This window comes from Homo sapiens, chromosome 11 (assembly GCF_000001405.40).
Source record: "Homo sapiens chromosome 11, GRCh38.p14 Primary Assembly".
In the NCBI taxonomy this organism is placed as follows: domain Eukaryota; kingdom Metazoa; phylum Chordata; class Mammalia; order Primates; family Hominidae; genus Homo; species Homo sapiens.
This window is the reverse complement of record NC_000011.10, coordinates 78,080,371-78,099,021: the sequence shown is the minus strand read 5'-3', so window position 1 is coordinate 78,099,021 and position 18,651 is coordinate 78,080,371. Positions and strand designations below refer to the sequence as shown.

Genomic DNA, 18,651 nt, shown 5'->3' with positions numbered 1-18,651 from the left:
GGAGGTTCTTCAGTGTTGCCTCAGAGGCCCTGGGCTCTGTCCATAGTAAATAGCTTTGATCTGTTTCATATATTCACATGGCTTCATATACATTTTCATTTGACTTCAAAGTCCAAATATAGCCTTAAAGCAGTTCAGCTGAGCACAGTGACCCACACTTGTAATCCCAGCACTTTGGGAGCCTGAGGCAGACAGATCACTTGAGCCCAGGAGTTCAAGACCAGCCTGGGCAACATAGTGAGACCCTTTGTCTACAAAAAATCAAAAAATTAGCCAAGCCTGGTGACATGCGCTGTAGTCCCAGCTACTCAAGAGACTGAGGTGGGAGGATCACTTGAATCCTGGAAGTCGAGGCTAAGTGAGCTGTGTTCACACCACTGTATTCCAGACTGGGGAAGTAAGCAAGACCCTGTCTCAAAAAAAAAAAAAAAAAAAAAAAAAAGTCAATGTCTTATATTACCGGGAGGGAAATGGCTCCAGACTCTGAAGAATACCTTGTTGGTGCCAACACAGACTAGAATCTAGACTTTTTGTCTAGAGCCCAAGATTCTTTTATTCTTTTCCAAACACTATACTTTGTAATCATGTTTTAAAACTTTACAGAGATATGGGTGGTTTTCAACAACAAATTCCTAAATTTCAGTCAATAAATGAAGTGCTGGTGGCGTGTGGTGGCTCATAGCGCTTTGGGACACCGAGGCAGGAGGATCACTGGAGTCCAGGAGTTCAAGACCAGCCTGGGCAACATAGTGAGACCTGTCTCTACAAAAATAAAAATTAGCCAGGCGTGATGGCCCGTGCCTGTAATCTCAGCTACTCAGGAAGCTGAAGTGGGAGAATCACTTGAGCCCAGGCATTTGAGGCTGCAGTGAGCCATGATCCTGCCAATGCACTCCAGCCTGGGTGACACAGCAAGACCCCATCTTAAAAAAAAAAGAAATGCTGTTTCAAAATATTTTGAAATTGGGAATTAAGCAAAGTTTAAGAACAAGATAGTATTATCAAAATGTAAACAAATAAGATACATAACTCATTTCTTACCTACTAATTAATGTATATGCAATGTGCCACAATTTAAGAAGATAAAAGAATAAGTGGTGGGACTTCGTGTTCTTGGTCACTGTATCTTTCCCCAGGTGGAGGCATAGAGCCAGAACTGGGCGGGAACTACTAGGAAGATGTGCTGTCTTTCTAGCCCAACTCTGGTATAGTGTTTCTTGTTAAGTGTTTTAGACTTGTATAGTGTTATAGACTTCCACCCTGAAACTTTGTGAAGGAAGCACTCAGTATCAGAAATGCCCCCTAGGTATAGCCCATGCAGCTTCTGTTTGCAGTTAATAGGAAAGAAAACATGCCAATAAAATAATGACCTTTGAAAAATATGTATTTTTGATTAAAATGTCAATTTTATGCACATATTTTGATTTTAATTGCATCATGAGTCATCTGTTAAAAAGAGTTTGAACGTTTGTTTTTAGATATATTTCTCTTTAAGATTTTGATGAAATTACACTTATAGCATGATGCTGGTTTTTTAAAAAATCCACCTATCCCTTTGTTTGTTCTCCAAAGAAATTGGCTACTGTGCTAATGGCAGTTAAGATTGGAATGATCATGTAAACCTTAAAAGCTTGAAGCAGTATAGCCATTCATTTCTCACAATGAAGTCCCATATTCAGCATCTCCATTTTATACAAAAGTCAATAAAGGTACTAATTTTTTTTTCAAACTGTGGAGTCAGAAACAAAAACAATATATGTTGGAGGCCGAGGCGGGCGGATCACAAGGTCAGGAGATCAAGACCATCCTGGCTAATACGTTGAAACCCCATCTCTACTAAAAATACAAAAAATTAGCCGGGCGTGGTGGCGAGCGCCTGTAGTCCCAGCTACTTGGGAGGCTGAGGCAGGAGAATGGCGTGAACCCGGGAGGCAGAGCTTGCAGTGAGCCGAGATCGTGCCACTGCACTCCAGCCTAGGCAACAGAGCGAGACTCCATCTTAAAAAAAAACAATATATGTTGGGTGTGGTGGCTCACGCCTGTAACCCCAGTACTTTGGGAGGCTGAGGCAGGTGAATCACTTGAGGTCAGGAGTTTGAGACCAGCCTGGCCAACATGGTGAAACTCCATCTCTACTAAAAACACAAAAATTAGCCAGGCGGGGTAGTGGGTGCCTGTAATCCCAGCTACTCAGGAGGCCGAGGCAGGAGAATTACTTGAACCCGGAAGGCGGAGGTTGGAGTGAACTGAGATTGCACCACTGCACTCCAGCCTGGGTGACAGAACTAGACTCTGTCTTTAAAAAAAAAAACAACAAAAATATTTGTACTGATAAAGTGACTATGAAAGGGACAAGACTCAATATACCTCTGTACAATGCTCTGAAAAGAGACTGTTTATAAGAATTTCAGAGTCCTAGAAAGGCTTTCAGAAGTACATTCCACATATTTTTTATTTTTATTTATTATTATTATTGTTTGAAGACAGAGTCTCACTCTGTCGCCCGGGCAATCTTGGCTCACTGCAACCTCTGCCTCCCGGGTTCAAGCGTTTCCTGCCTCAGCCTCCCGAGTAGCACGCCGCCACGCCCAGCTAATTTTTTGTATTTTAGTAAAGAGGGTTTCACCGTGTTGCCCAAGCTGGTCTTGAACTCCTGAGCTCAGGCAATCCGCCTGCCTCAGCCTCCCAAAGTGCTGGGATTACAGGCATAAGTCACTGCACCCGACCAGATTTATTAATTTTTTAAGTGTTTTTCTGACAAAGATAGCTGATTAAAGCAGGATGGGAGTGTTCACCTCTCAAAGCAGCCCCTCCCATATGTGCAGCTGTTTGTTAGGGCATTTTTAATGATGAATTAGTATTTTTCCTTCTCTGACTTTCTCCTACTGGTTTCTGGAGCAGAACGTACTGAAGGTCTACTCATATTTAAATAACAGCCCTTCAAGTGATACACAGAAGGAAAACCCCATACTGTTATGTGCCAAGTACGGTGCTAGACATTACATCTCTTAATCCCTACTAAAACTGCAAATGAAATCCATTATCACTTCACAAAAATATTTAATGAATTTCTATTGAGTGTTATACATTGTGCTCAGTGCTGGAGATCAAAAAGTGGACAAGAAAGCCATATTCCTGCCTACAAGGAATTTATATTCTAGTGGCTAGAGGGTCCTAAGAGCAAAGAAGAGTGGTATAAATTGAAGATGAAGAAGTAGGCAGCGCCCAAATCATGTGGGAATTTGATTTTAAGTCAAATGGGAACAAATGGTTTTCAGATTTTCTGAGTTATACTTTCATGTAGATGGAGCAAAATTCGTGAGGTCCCCAGCTACCCAGTTCCCCTACCAAGAGGCAACCATTGTTACCAATTTTTTAATGTATCATTCCAGAGATGCCAGAGATATTCTATGCATAGACAAGTATTTTTATGTACATAAATGAAAACATTATACACACTTTTGACCTCACATTTTTTATTATTTATTTTTTGACAGGGTCCTGCTTTGTTGCCCAGGCTGGAGTACAGTGGTGCAGTCTCGGTTCACTGCAACCTCCACCTCAGCCTCCCAAGTAGCTGGGATTACAGGAGGCATGACCAGGACCAGATAATTTTTGTATTTTTTGTAGAGATGGGGTTTCACCATTTTGCCCAGGCTGGTCTTGAGCTCCTGGCTCAAGCAGTCCACCCACCTCGGCCTCCCAAAGTGCTGGGATTACAGGTGTGAGCCACTGTGCCTGCTGACCTCACTTTTGTGTGTGTGTGTGTGTGTGTGTGTGTGTGTGTTTGTATGCTTAGTATATTTTGGAGTTTATTCTGTTATCAGTACATATAGAACTGCATCATTCTTTTAAGAGCTGCATATTATCTGTATTAGTTATCTATTGCTGTGTAACAACATAGTGGCTGAAAAAAACACATTTACTGTCTCATAGTTTCTGTAAGTCAGGAGTCTAGGCACAGCTTATCTTGGTCCTCTGCTTCAGGATCTCTCACAAGGCTGCAATCAAGGTGCCACCCAGAGTTGTGGTCTCATCCCAAGGTTTGACTGAGAAAAGATCTGCTTCCACGGTTGTTGGCAGAATTCAATTCTCTATGGGTTGTAGGACTGAGGGCCTCAGTTTCTTGTTGGCTTTTGGGTGGAAACCAACCCTCAATTCCTTGTCAATTGACCCGCTTCATGGGGTAGTCACAACATGGCAGCTAGCTTCATCAAAGACATCAAGGAAGGAAGTTGGCTATCAAGATAGCTGTCATGATCTTGGGCAGGCAGGGTGACTAACGCCTATAATCCCAGCACTTTGGGAGACTGAGGCAGATGGATCCCTTGAGCTCATGAGTTTGAGACCAGCATGGGCAACAGGGCAAAACACTGTCACTACAAAATATACAAAAATTAGCTGGTCATGGTAGTCCCAGCTACTCAGGAGGCTGAGGTGAGAGGATGGCTTGAACCTGGGAGGGGGAGGTTACGGTGAGCCAAGATTGCACCACTGCACTCCAGCCTCGGTGATAGAGCCAGACCTTGTCTCAAAAAATAATAATATGTCATGATCTTGTGTAATGTAATCATGAAAGTGACATCCTGTCACCTTTGCCACATTCTGTTAGAAGAACTTACATGTCCAACCCACATGTATGGGAGGGGATTACCAGCATGAGTTCCAGGAAGCAGAGATAATTGGGGCCATCTTAGAGTCTGTTCATTACAGTGTCTATTGTATAGATGGACCAGAATTTATTTAACAAGATTTCTCTTAGTGGACATTTAAGTTGTTTCCATTTTTGACAGTATGAATAACACTGCAATCAATATCAATATCAGTATTCCATTCTGCCTGTGTGCTAGGACTGCACATGTTGTTGAATTAAATTTCTAGAACTAGAATTTCTCTTTTTTTTTCACTCTCAGAATATGCTTAATAGAACTAGAATTTCTTTTTTTTTTTTTTTTTGTATTTTTAGTAGAGATGGAGTTTCTCCATGTTGGTCAGGCTGATCTCGAACTCCTGACCTTAGGTAATCCGCCCGCCTCGGCCTCCCAAAGTGCTGGGATTACAGGTATAAGCCACCACACCCGGCCAGAACTAGAATTTCTATATTGAAGGCTATGCTCAGTTGTAATTTCGATAGATGTTGCCAAATTGGTGATAGAAGTTGCATCAGTTTGTTTCACAGGCAATGTATAAGGATGCCTATTCACACATTTGCCAATTTACTGTGTCATCAAGCTTTGCCAGTGACATCTGTTATCTTCATTTGTATTTCTCTTATGAGAGAGGTTAGAAACTTCTTATATGTTTAAAAGCCATTTGTATTTGATTGATTGATTGAGACGGAGTCTTGCTCCTCACCCAGGCTGGAGTGCAGTGGCACGATCACGGCACACTGCAACCTCCACCTCCCAGATTCAAAAGATTCTCCTGCCTTAGCCACCTGAGTAGCTGGAACTACAGGTGTGCACCATCACGCCCAGCTCATTTTTGTATTTTTAGTAGGGACAGGGTTTCACCATGTTGCTTAGGCTGGTCTTGAACTCCTGACCTCCAGTGATCCACTTGCCTTGGCCTCCCAAAGTGCTGGGATTACAGGCATGAGCTACCATACCTGACCCTATTTTCATTATTTTTTAAATAGAAATGGTTTATTAGATTGCTGAGGTTGGTCTTGAACTCCTGGGCTCAAGCGATCCTTTCACCTCACCTTCCAAAGTGCTGGGATTACAGGTGTGAGCCACTGTGCTCAGCGTAGCCATTTGTGTTTTCTCTCCTGAGTACTGTGTTGATATTCTTTGCCATTTTTTCTTTGAGACAGAGTCTCACTCTGTCGGCCAGACTGGAGTGCAGTGGCGCGATCTCAGCTCACTGCAACCTCCACCTCCCAGGTTCAAGCAATTCTTCTGCCTCAGCCTCCCAAGTTGCTGGGATTACCAACACAAGTCCCCACGCCCAGGTAATTTTTGTATTTTTAGTAGAGACAGAGTTTCACCATGTTGGCCAGGTTGGTTTCAAACTCCTGACCTGAAGTGATCCACCTGCCTTGTCCTCCCAAAGTGCTGGGGTTACAAGCGTGAGCCACCAGGCCCAGCCAGAAAGAATTTTTAAAGACACACTATAAACCATAAAGAAAAAGATTGGCTGGGTGTGGTGGCTGATGCCTGTAATCCCAACACTTTGGGAGACCAAGGCGGTTGAATTGTTTGAGCCCAGGAGTTCGAGACCAGCTGAGGCAACATGGTGAAATCCCATCTCTTCAAAAAAAATTAAAACATTTTTAAAAAATGGGTAAAAGATGAACAACCAATTCATTCATGGAAGAGGAAACTATAGAAGAATCAATAAATATGAAAATATATTCAGCTTTGCTAATAATAAAGGAAAAGCAAAACCATAGTGAAATAACATTTCTACTAGAAGACTGGCAAAAATTAAAGTTCGGCAATGGCAACAGACAACAGGCAAAGGTTGCCAAGGATATGGGGAAACCCAACAGAATCAAGTGGAAAACTATTGGAACTAATAGGAAAGTGTAGCAAAATTGCTGACTACAAGAGCAGCATTCTAATTAACCAATTAGAAAAGTAATAGAATATAAAGATATTTGCAACAGTAACAAAAACTATAAATATCTAGAGACATACTAGTGAAAATGTTCAAGAATTTTGTAGAGAAAATGCTAATGGTTTATTGAGGGATATAAAAGGAAATTTGAATAAATGCATAAATATATACCATGTTCATAGATCAGAAGACTCAGCATTTTAAATATATCAGTTCTTTCCATAGGAGTCTATAAATTTAATGAAATTCTAATCAATACCCTAATGAGATTTTTCAAATAACTTGACAAGGTGATTTTAAAATCATAAGGAAGTCTAAAGGTGTACGAATAGTAATAATAATAATTGCTAACATGTATTAGCTTTGAAAAAAAGTAGATGATACACCCTATCAGATATTAAAGAACAATTCAACACTATGGTTATTAGATTGTATGATATGGGTATAGTAATTGGTAAAGAGAACTGTGGAACAAAGTAGATTTCAGAAATAGACCATGGCATTTGTGAGAACGTGATGTGTATTAAAGGAGGCATTAAATACTAGTAGGGAAAAGATGGACTTTAATAATAAATGATGTTCGGCCAGTTTTCACGTGTAATATTCCTCACACTCAACACAAAAACAAAAATTCGAATGGATTAAACATGCAAAGCTAAAACTTGGGAAGAAAATATCTGAGCATATCTTTATGGTCTTAGAAAAAACAAGGCTTCTTAATAATATTAAAAACATAGACAACAAAGAAAAAGATTGATACATTTTACTAAACCAATAGTTTACACTTTATGACAACCACCCCAGACTCCATAAATAACATTCAAAGGCAAGCAGAATAGTTGGAAAAGATATCTGCCATATATTTAACAAAAGATTAGCATCAGAGTGTATATATAAGGCTAGCACAGTGGCTCACACCTGTAATCCCAATGCTTTGGGAGGCCGAGGTGGAAGGATTGCTTGAGCCCAGGAGCTCAAGACCATTCTGGACAACATAGTGAGGCTCCATCTCTACAAAAAATTTAAAAAATTAGCCAGCTGAAGGCCGGGTGTGGTAGCTCACACCTGTAATCCCAGCACTTTGGGAGGCTGAGGCAGGAGAATGGTGTGAGCTTGGGAGGCAGAGCTTGCAGTGAGCCGAGATCGCGCCACTGCACTCCTTCCTGGGCGATAAAGCAAGACTCTGTCTCAAAAAAAAAAAAAAAAAAATTAGGCAGCTGGGGTGGTGTAGGCCTGTAGCCCCAGCTACTTAGGAGGCTGAGGTGGGAGGATCTCTTGAGCCCAGGAGGTTGAGGCTGCAGTGAGCCATGATCATGCCACTGGACTCCAGCCTGCACCAAAGAGTAAGACTGACTCAAAAAAAAAAAAGGGCGGGGCGGGGCTGGGTGTGGTGGCTCACACCTGTAATCCTAGCAATTTGGGAGGCTGAGGCGGGTGGATCACTGTAGGAGTTCTGTCAGGGTGGTGGGAAAAGTTGTAAGAAAAAGTTATAGGGAAAGACGCAAACCTTCTTGGAAGGCCGGGAGGTTTTCCAAAAGCTTCGGAAGGGAATTATGGCTGAAGGCAGTCAAATTTTCTTATCCGGAGCCTGAGAGCAAAGGGCAGATAACAAGGGAATGTAAAGAAACTTATCTAGATAAATTTGTTTACTTCTGTCTCCAGAAACCAACCTTTGATCATTCGAGCACAGGACTGCTCTCTACCTGGGGGGTCAACAATGTTTATTACCCACAAACTGTGTTTGCTTCAACCCTTTGTCATTAAATATGTACTACATAAATGCGAGCAGGGCCAGCTTATTGGGACTGCACTCTCTCGGTGGCTGCTGCACTCTCTCGTCAGTGGTGCTGAGCCCTAGCTGCGCTGTCAGGCAAAACACCTGTGTCAGTGTACTTCTTTCATCCATTGCTCAGCCAGAGTCTGCGGGACAGACTCAGCAGATCACCAGGTCAGGAGATCGAGACCATCCTCACTAACACGGTGAAACCCCACCTCTATTAAAAATACAAAAAAATTAGCCGGGTGTGGTGGCATGCACCTGTAGTCCCAGCTACTTGGGAGGCTGAGGCAGGAGAATCGCTTGAACCCGGGAGGTGGAGGTTGCAGTGAGCCGAGATCGTGCCACTGCACTCCAGCCTGGGCAACAGAGCAAGACTCCATCTCAAAAAAAAAAAAAAAAAAAAAAAAAAAGATGATATGGTACTGGCATACACACATAGATAGACCCAATGGTACAGAATAGAGAGCCTAGAAATAAACCATTGTGTATATGGCCAAGTGATCTTCATCAAGAGTGCCAAGACTATACACGGGGGAAAGGATAGTCTGTGTTGGGAAAACTGAATATCCACATGCAAAAGATGAAGTTGGAACCTTACCTTATACCACGTACAAAAATTAAAATGGTCAGGCATGGTGGCTCACACCTGTAATCCCAGCACTTTGGGAGGCCAAGGTGGGTGCATCACCTGAGGTCAGGAGTTCGTGATCAGCCTGGCCAACATGGTGAAACCCTGTCTCTATTAAAAATTCAAAAATTAACCAGGCATGGTGGTAGGCACCTGTAATCTCAGCTACTTGGGAGGCTGAGGCAGGAGAATTGCTTGAACCCGGGAAGTGGAGGTTGCAGTGAACCGAGACTGCGCCACTGCACTCCAGCTTGGGTGACAGAGTAAGACTCTGTCTCAGAAAAAAAAAAAAAAAAAAAAAAAAACCAACTCAAAATGGATTAAAGGCCTAACTATAAGATCTAAAACTCCTAGAAGAAAATACAACTTCAGGCCAGGCGTGGCGGCTCATGCCTGTAATCCCAGCACTTTGGGGGGCCGAGGCAGGTGGATCACTTGAGGCCAGGAGTTTGAGACCAGCCTGGCCAACATGGCGAAACCCTGTCTCTACTAAAAATACAAAAAAATTAACTGGTGTGATGTCTCACGCCTATAATCGCAACTACTTGGGAACCTGAGGTGGGAGAATCACTTGAACCCAGGAGGCGGATGTTGTAGTCAGCCAAGATTGTGCCATTGCACTCCAGCCTGGGCGACACTGAGACCCTGTCTCAAAAAAAAAAAAAAAAAAAAAAAAAAGGAAAAGAAAAGAAAACAGCTTCAGAACACTGGATTTTGCAATGATTTCTTGGATATGACACCAAAAATATAGGTAACAAAAGCAACACTAGACAAATGGGACTACATCAAACTTTTTTTTTTTTTTGGAGATGGAGTCTTGCTCTGTCACCCAGGTTGGAGTGCAGTGGCATGATCTCGGCTCACTGCAACCTCCACCTCCTGGGTTCAAGTGATTCTCCAGCCTCAGCCTCCTGAATAGCTGGGAATACAGGCGCCCGCCACCACGCCCGGCTAATTTTTTGTATTTTAGTAGAGACGGTGTTTCACCATGTTGCCCAGGCTGGTCCCGACCTCCTGAGCTCAGGCAATCCGCCTGCCTCAGCCTCCCAAAGTGCTAGGAGTGTGAGCCACTGCGCCCGGCCGGGAATACATCAAACTTTAAAACTCCTGTACATCAAAGGAAGCAGAGTGAAAACGCAGCTTACAGAATGGAAGAAAATATTTGCACATCATAGATCTGGGCCAAGCGTGGTGGCTCACACCTGTAATCCCAGCACTTTGGGAGGCCGAGGCAGGTGGATCACTTGAGTTCAGGAGTTCGAGACCAGCCTGACCAACATGGAGAAACCCCATCTCTACTAAAATACAAAAGTAGCCAGGCGTGGTGGCGCATGCCTGTAATCCCAGCTACTCGGGAGGCTGAGGCAGGAGAATCACTTGAACCCAGGAGGTAGAGATTGTGGTGAGCCAAGATCGCACCATTGCACTCCAGCATAGGCAACAAGAGTGACACTCCGTCTCAAAAAAACAAAACAAACAGCCGGGTGCAGTGGCTCACGCCTGTAATCCTAGCACTTTGGGAGGCCAAGGTGGGCAGATCATGAGGTCAGGAGATCGAGACCATCCTGGCCAACACGGTGAAACCCCGTCTCTACTAAAAATACAAAAAATTAGCTGGGTGTGGTGGCGGGCACCTGTAGTCCCAGCTACTCGGAAGGCTGAGGCGGGAGATTGGCATGAACCCGAGGCGGAGCTTGCAGTGAGCCGATATTGTGCCACTGGACTCCAGCCTGGGTGACAGAGTGAGACTCGGTCTCAAAAAAAAAAAAAAAAAACCCCACAAAGCAAAACAAAACAGGGCCAGTTGCAGTAGCTCACGCCTGTAATCCCAGCACTTTGGGAAGCCGAGGTGGGCAGATCACTTGAGGTCAGGAGTTTGAGAACAGCCTGGCCAACAGGGCGAAACCCCATCTTTACTAAAAATACAAAAATTAGCAGGACATGGTGGCACACACCTGTAATCCCAGCTACTGGGGAGGCTGAGGCAAGAGAATTGCTTGAACCAGGGAGGCAGAAGTTGCAGTTAGCTGACATCGCGCCACTGCACTCCAACCTGGGCGACAAAGTGAACCTCTGTCTCATAAAAAAACAGGCCCAGAAGATTGTGGGGGTTATGTGTTGAGGAGCAGTGGGCTAGGCTTCTGTTATGGATCCCCTTACTCAGAGTTAGATTTTTTTTATAGAAGCTGAGCCTTGGAATATCCATTGAATACACAAGTATTTCATCATGTTTTAAGAAAATCTGTAAACTTTATTTTAGATGCTTGCCTAGTAGTTTATCTGGTATTCAGAATTTACATATTGCTTCTGAGGAACATTTTTGGTTGTTTTTATTCTTTTAATAACATTTTAAAAGAAACACTGTGGTTAAAAAAACAAAAATTTGTGCAAAAAACGTTTTCCATGCTATACTATTTTCAGAGAATAAGATTCCTAGATGTGTAATTATTGAGTTAAAGGGTGTGAACTTTTGAAACATTTGCTGCCTTTCAGGAAAGTGCTAATATACACTCCAGAAAAATCCTAATTTGGGCTGGGCGAGGTGCCTCATGCCTGTAATCCCAGCACTTTGGGAGGCCAAGGTAGGAGGATCCCTTGAGCCCAGGAGCTCTAGACCAACCTGGGCAACATAGCAGACCCTGTCTACAAAAAATTTAAAAATTAGCCAGCATGATCGCACCACTGCACTCCAGTCTGTGTGACAGAATGAGACCCTGACTTGAGAAAAAGAAAAGCAAAATTCTAACTTGAAATATTGTCAGGTAGCGTTTTTTCTATAGAGATAAAAGGTCCATGCTTTATGTAATCACTCTTAGCTGGTATTTAATTCTTCCACTCAGGAAATCACTATCTTTGATGCATACACCTTTGCATAAACCTCTGGTTTAATCAGCCTCATTTGGATAAAATGTTTATTCTACTAATGAATGGACATGACAGGAAGACATTTTAGCTCAACATCAGGAAGGGCTTTCCAAAGGGAACTGTTCAATCTGCAGTATTAGAGGTGGGTGAGCAGATGTCACGCATGTCTGTGTGAAGACGCCACCAACAGGCTTTGTGTGAGCAACAAGGCTGTTTATTCACTTGGGTGCAAGTGGGCTGAGTCTGAAAAGAGAGTCAGCGAAGGGAGATGGGGAAGGGGTTGCCCTATAGGAGTTGGGTAGGTAATGGAAAATTACACTAAAAGGTGGTTATCTATTGTTAGCAGAGGAGGGGGGTCACAAGGTACATGGTAGGGAGATCATAAGACTCATTGTCCAGAAGAAGAATGTCACAAGGTCAATCGATCCATTAAGGTAGGGCAGGGACCAGTCACAATGGTGGAATGGTGGAATGTTGGTTAATCTGTTAAGGCAGGAACTGGCTGTTTTACTTCTTTTGTGGTTTTTCAGCTGCCCCAGACTTCTTGGCTCCTGCAGGCCATCTGGACACATATGTGCAAGTCACAGGGGTTACAATGGCTGAGCTTCGGCGCAGAGGCCTGACATTCCTGTCTTTTTATTTATAAAATATAAAGTTATAAGAAAAGATAAAGAAAATATAAGTTTTTACTGGGGATTATTGGGGCAGGGGCGATGTTTCTCAGGGCTGCTTCAGGCATGACTTAGGGGCAGCATGGACACCTAAAGAAAATTTAATTTTATAGTGAGTTGGTCTAGAAAGTTTTCGGGTACAATTTTGTGTGGCTAACAAGGCACCAGTTAGCATATTTTTGAGCTTGGAATTCTCCTAGTAGAATAAATTATCTAAAAATAGCAATTAAGCATAATAGCTTTAAGGTAGGTGGCAGTGAGTTTTTAGGCCAAGGTAGGAATAACGTTTTATATACCAAGGCCTTTTGTCCCCATTTGCCATCATATGAATAGGATCCCCTGGCATCGAGCCAAAAGTCTATTATGTTACTTTTTTCCCAAAGGTGTGAGTGGTGTTTTGAATGGAGGAGTTCAATAGTCCTTACTGCAGACCCTATACAGGAAAGACAGTAAGTACAATAGTCCCTGTCTCCTGGAATAAGTTGGGGCTGGCAAAGAGAGAAATGTCCTAGGCCTTCTAATAACCAATGACAGACCATGTGTCGTCCTGGATGTTGACCTGAGTGCCAGATATGTGGAACTGGTCCTCTATATGCATATTGCTGGTCATTTCTATATGAGTAGGCCTGAGGACCCCATGGGCAAGGATTTGACAGCTGCCACCCCAGGCATTTTAGATTTTTAATTCAGAGGTCTTTGATTTTGGGGGTGGGGAACATTTTGGAGGACAAGGCCTGAAGGAAGTTGTTTTTATAGACAGCAGGTCCTCAGAGATTATGGTTTAGAGGAACGGGTGAAGCAGGCCTGGAAGTATGTTTGGACAGCCGTTTGGAGGGGGTGTTGCACAGAAGCTTGGTCTTGTCTGGATGTTGCCAGGAGTTCATCACTGGTTTAGTCCTAAAGGTGAGAAGGAGTATAATAGGACGAGGAATAGAAGTTTAGGCTGTGGGGAGATTTTGGGGCACCGGATAGTACCATGGGGTTGTTAGAAGCAGCAACTGCAGTATGGAATGATTGGTGATGGCCTGGATGCGGTTTTGTGTGAATTGAGGGACTAAATGAAAGACAAAAGGCCCAAATAAGAGAAGGAGAAAAACAGGTACCAGGGGACTAAGAGTAGGAAGGAGCCAAGACGCCCAGTTAAAAAGTGCCCAGGTAGGTCCAGCATAATTATTTGCCTGGCTGGCGAGTTTTGGGGCCCTAACTTTAAGCTTTTTTATGTTGTCATATAGCAGGCTGGATTGATTTAGATAAAAACAACATTCTTCATTTAAAAATATGCAGAGTTCTCCTTTTTCAGCAGTGAGTAGGTCAAGGCCTTGGTGATTTTGGAGGACAACTGCGACTAAGGAACCGACCTGGGCCCGAAGGACTGATAAAGTTTGTGATATATCTGTAATGCTAGCAGGAAAGTCATTAGAAAGACAATGGAAGGTTGTGACAGAAGTTGAAATGCCAGGTAGGTCAGAGAGATACAGTCATGGGGGTCAGGTGTGGTATCAGGAATAATGTGGGAGGCCGGATTGAAGTCTGGGCCAGGAACAATGGTAATTATGGGAGACTCAACAAAGAGTGAGTATAGCTGAAGGAGCTGGAGGGGCAGAAAGTATATGCATCAGGTTTGAGGAAGAAAATAGATTTTGAAAGTTATGAGAACTGTAGAGAGTGAGTTGAGCATAGTTTGCGATTTTAAGGGCCTCTAAAAGTATTAGAGCGGTGGCAGCTGCCACACGCAAACATGAGGGCCAGCCTAAAACAGTAAGGTCAAGTTGTTCAGACAAAAAGGCTACAGGGCGCGGTCCCGGTCCTTGTGTAAGAATTCCGACCACACAGCCCTGTACTTCAGCTGTGTGTAATGAAAAGGGTTGGGATGAGTCAGGGAGAGCTAGTGTGGTAGCAGTTTCTAGAGCTGTTTTCAAGGAATGGAAAGAGGAGTGGGGAAAGGATTTAGGATCTGTGGGGTTGGCTAGGTTTCCCTTTCTGAGTTTATATAATGGTTTCGAGAATAAATGTTGAAGGAGCAGGAGGGTGTCTTGTTGAGAAGATTTAAAGGAGGGGCTACAAAGTAGAAGGTCATCAATATATTGAATAAGGTGAGAAGCAGAGGGGTGGAAAGAAAGTAAATCATGAGAAAGAGCTTGGCTGAAGGAATGAGGGCTGTCCCTGAAGCCTCGTGGCAGTACAGCCCAGGTAAGTTGCTGGGACTGATGGGTGTCAGGGTCAATCCAGGTAAAAGCAAAGAGGGCTGGGACGAGGGGTGCAGGGGAATAGTGAAAAAAGCATCTTTAAGATCAAGAACGGAATAGTTGTGGAGGAAGGTATTGAGGACAAAAGAGTGTACGGGTTGGGCACCACAGAGTGGATAGGCAAAACAATTTGGTTGATAAGGCACAGATCCTGAATTAACTTGTAATACTTGTCCGGTTTTTGGACAGGTAAAATGGGGGAATTGTAAGGAGAGTTTGGAGGCTTTAGAAGCCCATACTGTAGCAGACGAGAGATAATAGGCTTTAGTCCCTTTAAAGTCTGTTGTGGGATGGGACACTGGCACTGAGGGGGGTAAGAGTGATTAGGTTTTAATAGGATAGTAATGGGTGTGTGATCGGTTGCTAGGGAGGGAGTAGAGGTATCCCATACTTGTGGGTTAAGGTGGGGGGATACAAGAGGAAGAAGTGAAGGAGGCTTTGGGTTGGGAAGAAGGGTGGCAATGAGATGTGGCTGTCGTCCAGGAATAGTCAGGGTGGTGGATAATTTTGTTAAAACATCTCAACCTAATAAGGGAACTGAGCAGGTGGGAATAACTAAAAAGGAGTGCATAAAAGAATGTTGTACAAGTTGTCACCAAAGTTGGGGAGTTTTAAGAGGTTTAGAAGCCTGGCTGTCAATACCCACAATGGTTATGTGGGCAAGGGAAACAGGTCCTTGAAAATAAGGTAATGTGGAGTGGGTAGCCCCTGTATCGATTAAAAAGGGGACAGACTTACCCTCCACTGTGAAAGTTACCCGAAGCTTGGCATCCATGATGGTCCAGGGGGCTTCCAAGGTGATTGGGCAGCGTCAGTCTTCAGCCACTAAGCTGAGCAGGTCTGGTAAGGAGTCAGTCAGAGACCCTTGGGCCAGAGCTTTAGGGGCTGGGCTCTGGAAGTGGCTGCCGGGTGAGCTGGGCGGTCTGATTTCCAGTGGGTCACTGCACAGATGGAACATGGCTTGGGAGGAATCCTGGGCTGCAGGCATTCCTTGGCCCACTGGCCAGATTTCTGGCACTTGAAGCAAGATCCTGAGGGAGGAGGTCCTGTAGGAAAGCCTGACCACTGCAGCTTAGGCATTTTGAAGTTCTTGTGTGCCGGAGGTGCAGCTGGGTTTTGTCTCACAGCAGAGGCAAGTAATTGTAACTCAGAAATGTGTTTCTGCTTGGCTGCCTCTTCTCTATTATTGTACACATTGAAGGCGAGGTTGATTAATTCCTGTTGTGGGGTTTGAGGGCCAGATTCAAATTTTTGAAGCTTTTTTCTGATGTCAGGAGCTGACTGGGTGATGAAATGCATATCAAGAATAAGACAGCCTTCTGGCCCTTCAGGGTCTAGGGCTATAAAGCATCTAAGGGTAGCCACCAAACAGGCCATGAACTGGGCTGGGTCTTCATCTTTACCTTGGGTAGTTTCTTTAAGTTTGTCATAATTAACAGATTTGTATGCTGCCTTTTTAAGCCCTTCAACTAGGCAGGAAATCATGTAATCTCACCTAGCTATACCTGAGGAACCTGCCTGATAGTGCCACTGGGGATCTTCTCAGGGAACCGTCTGTAATACCTTCCTGGAGGCCTGGCTCATAATGCCAGTGGGTGTCTGTGTGGGACTAGGCTAGAGGAAACACTCTTTCCCATTCATCTGGGGAGAGGGTAGAAATTAGGATGACATTTAAGCCACTCCAGGTTAAATTGTAAGACTGGGTTAAATACTGGAATTCATGTATATATTTGGTGGGGTCTGACGAGAAGGAGCCTAAGTGTTGATTAATTTGGGAAAGGTCTGATAGAGAAAATGGTACATGCACTCTGACGATGCCCTCAGTTCCAGCCACTTCTTGAAGAGGAAATTATTGGGCAGGTGGGGGAGTATTTGCCGCAGAACGAAATTGTAAGCTGGACCAGGTGTGGGGAGGGGAGATGATAGAAGGGTTGTAGGGTGGGGAAGTGGAGGCTGAGGAAGAGTTGGAAGCTGATTCAGCCTGGTGGGGAGCGACCTGAGGAGGAGCAGTCTAGGGAGGAGGGTAGAAGTCAGATGGGTCGGTAGAAAAGAAATATTCAAAAGACTCACCGGCACTTCAGGTTGGGACTGAAGGGACAGGCGGGAGGGAAAGAAGGAAGATTTGCGGCAAGTCGCACTGGGAACAGAGATTAGGGAAGGAACGAAGTGTAAAAAATGCCTGGATGTAGGGCACCTCAGACCATTTGCCCATTTTATGACAAAAATTATCTAGATCTTGTAGGCTGGAGAAATCGAAAGTGCTCTTTTCTGGCCATTTAGAGCCATTATCAAGTTTGTATTGGGGCCAAGTGGTGTTGCAGAAGAAAATAAGACACTTAGGTTTTAGGTCAGGTGAGAGTTGAAGAGGTTTTAAGTTTTTAAGAACACAGGCTAAGAGAGGAAGAAGAAGGAATGGAGGGCTGAAGGTTGCCCATAGTAAAAAGGTAAGTTTAGAGAAAGGAGGAGGTTGAGACATGGAGAGAGGGGGGGTGGTACTTGCCACCCAGGGGAAGTGGTACTTGCCACCAAGGTGGAAGATCAAAACAGGTGTCCCCGCAGTGATCGAACACCTCTGAAATGTGGGTGAATAATCAGGCAGGCGTCCCTGCAGTGACTAAACACAAGGGAAGACAGTCTTCCCGAGTCCATGACCAGCGCCAGAGTTTTGGGTCCACAGATAAAACGGGTCTCCTCTGTCTCTACCAGACAGGGAAAGGAACCGAAATTAAGGGAAGGGAGAGACTGAAGGGTGGTGCCGAAATTGAAAGGAGAAAGAGGTTGAGGGATAGTGAAAGAGGTTGAAGAAGAGAGTAGAAAGAGGCCACTTACCCGATTTAAAATTGGTGAGATGTTCCTTGGGCTGGTCTGAGGACCCGAGGTCGTAGGTAGATCTTCCTCACGGAGCAAAGAGCGGGAGGACAGGGGATTGATCTCCCAAGGAAGGTCCCCCGATCCAAGTCATAGCACCAAATGTCAAATGCATCCGTGTGAAGAGACCACCAACAGGCTTTGTGTGAGCAACAAGGCTGTTTATTCACTTGGGTGCAAGTGGGCTGAGTCCGAAAAGAGAATCAATGAAGGGAGATGGGGAAGGGGTTGCTTTATAGGATTTAGGTAGGTAATGGAAAATTACAGTAAAAGGTGGTTGTTATCTATTGTTAGCAGGGGAGGGGGTCACAAGGTACATGATGGGGAGATCATAAGACTTATTGTCCAGAAGAAGAATGTCACAAGGATGGTTGATCAGTTAAGGTAGGGCAGGGACCAGTCACAATGGTGGAATGTTTGTTAATCAGTTAAGGCAGGAAGTGGCTGTTTTACTTCTTTTGTGGGTTTTTGGCTGCCCCAGACTTCTTGGCTCCCGCAGGCCATCTGGACGCATATGTGCAAGTCACAGGGGTTACAATGGTTGAGCTTCGGCTGAGAGGCCTGACAGCAGAGACTGGAAAATTGCTTAACAGAATTATAAATTCCTTCTTTCATTACTCAAACCTTTTTTTTTTTCTTTTTGAGACGAAGTTTCGCTCTTGTTGACCAGGCTGGAATGCAATGGTGCGATCTCGGCTCACTGCAACCTCCACCTCCCAGGTTCAAGCGATTCTCCCCCCTCAGCTTCCCGAGCAGCCGATTATGCTGCCTCAGCCTTCCCAGTAGCTGGGACTACAGGCACCCGCCACCACGCCCAGCTAATTTTTTGTATTTTTCGTAGAGATGGGATTTCACCATGTTGGCCAAGCTGGTCTTGAACTCCTGAAGTGATCCGCTCACTTCAGCCTCCCAAAGTGATGGGATTACAGGCGTGAGTGACGGCGCCTGGCCTCATTACTCAAACCTTTAGGGAACACCTCCTCACTCAGCCATGTGTAACGACGTGAAGACCCAGAGGTGAAACATTTTAGG

The 18,651-nt window shown here is 44.3% G+C and overlaps 1 long non-coding RNA gene across 2 annotated transcripts; it reads right to left on the bottom strand.

Annotated features, from left to right (window-relative positions):
• On the bottom strand, nt 12,027-17,827 carry LOC105369401 (uncharacterized). Of its 2 annotated transcripts, none has more exons than XR_950342.2 (3): nt 17,581-17,827; nt 15,490-15,692; nt 12,027-13,402 (listed from the first exon to the last, which is right to left on the bottom strand). It is a non-coding gene; the product is annotated as an uncharacterized LOC105369401 (long non-coding RNA). The 2 variants fall into 2 exon arrangements; XR_007062796.1 differs by having other exon boundaries at nt 12,027-12,466.
• Nucleotides 17,828-18,651: the final 824 nt, after the last annotated feature.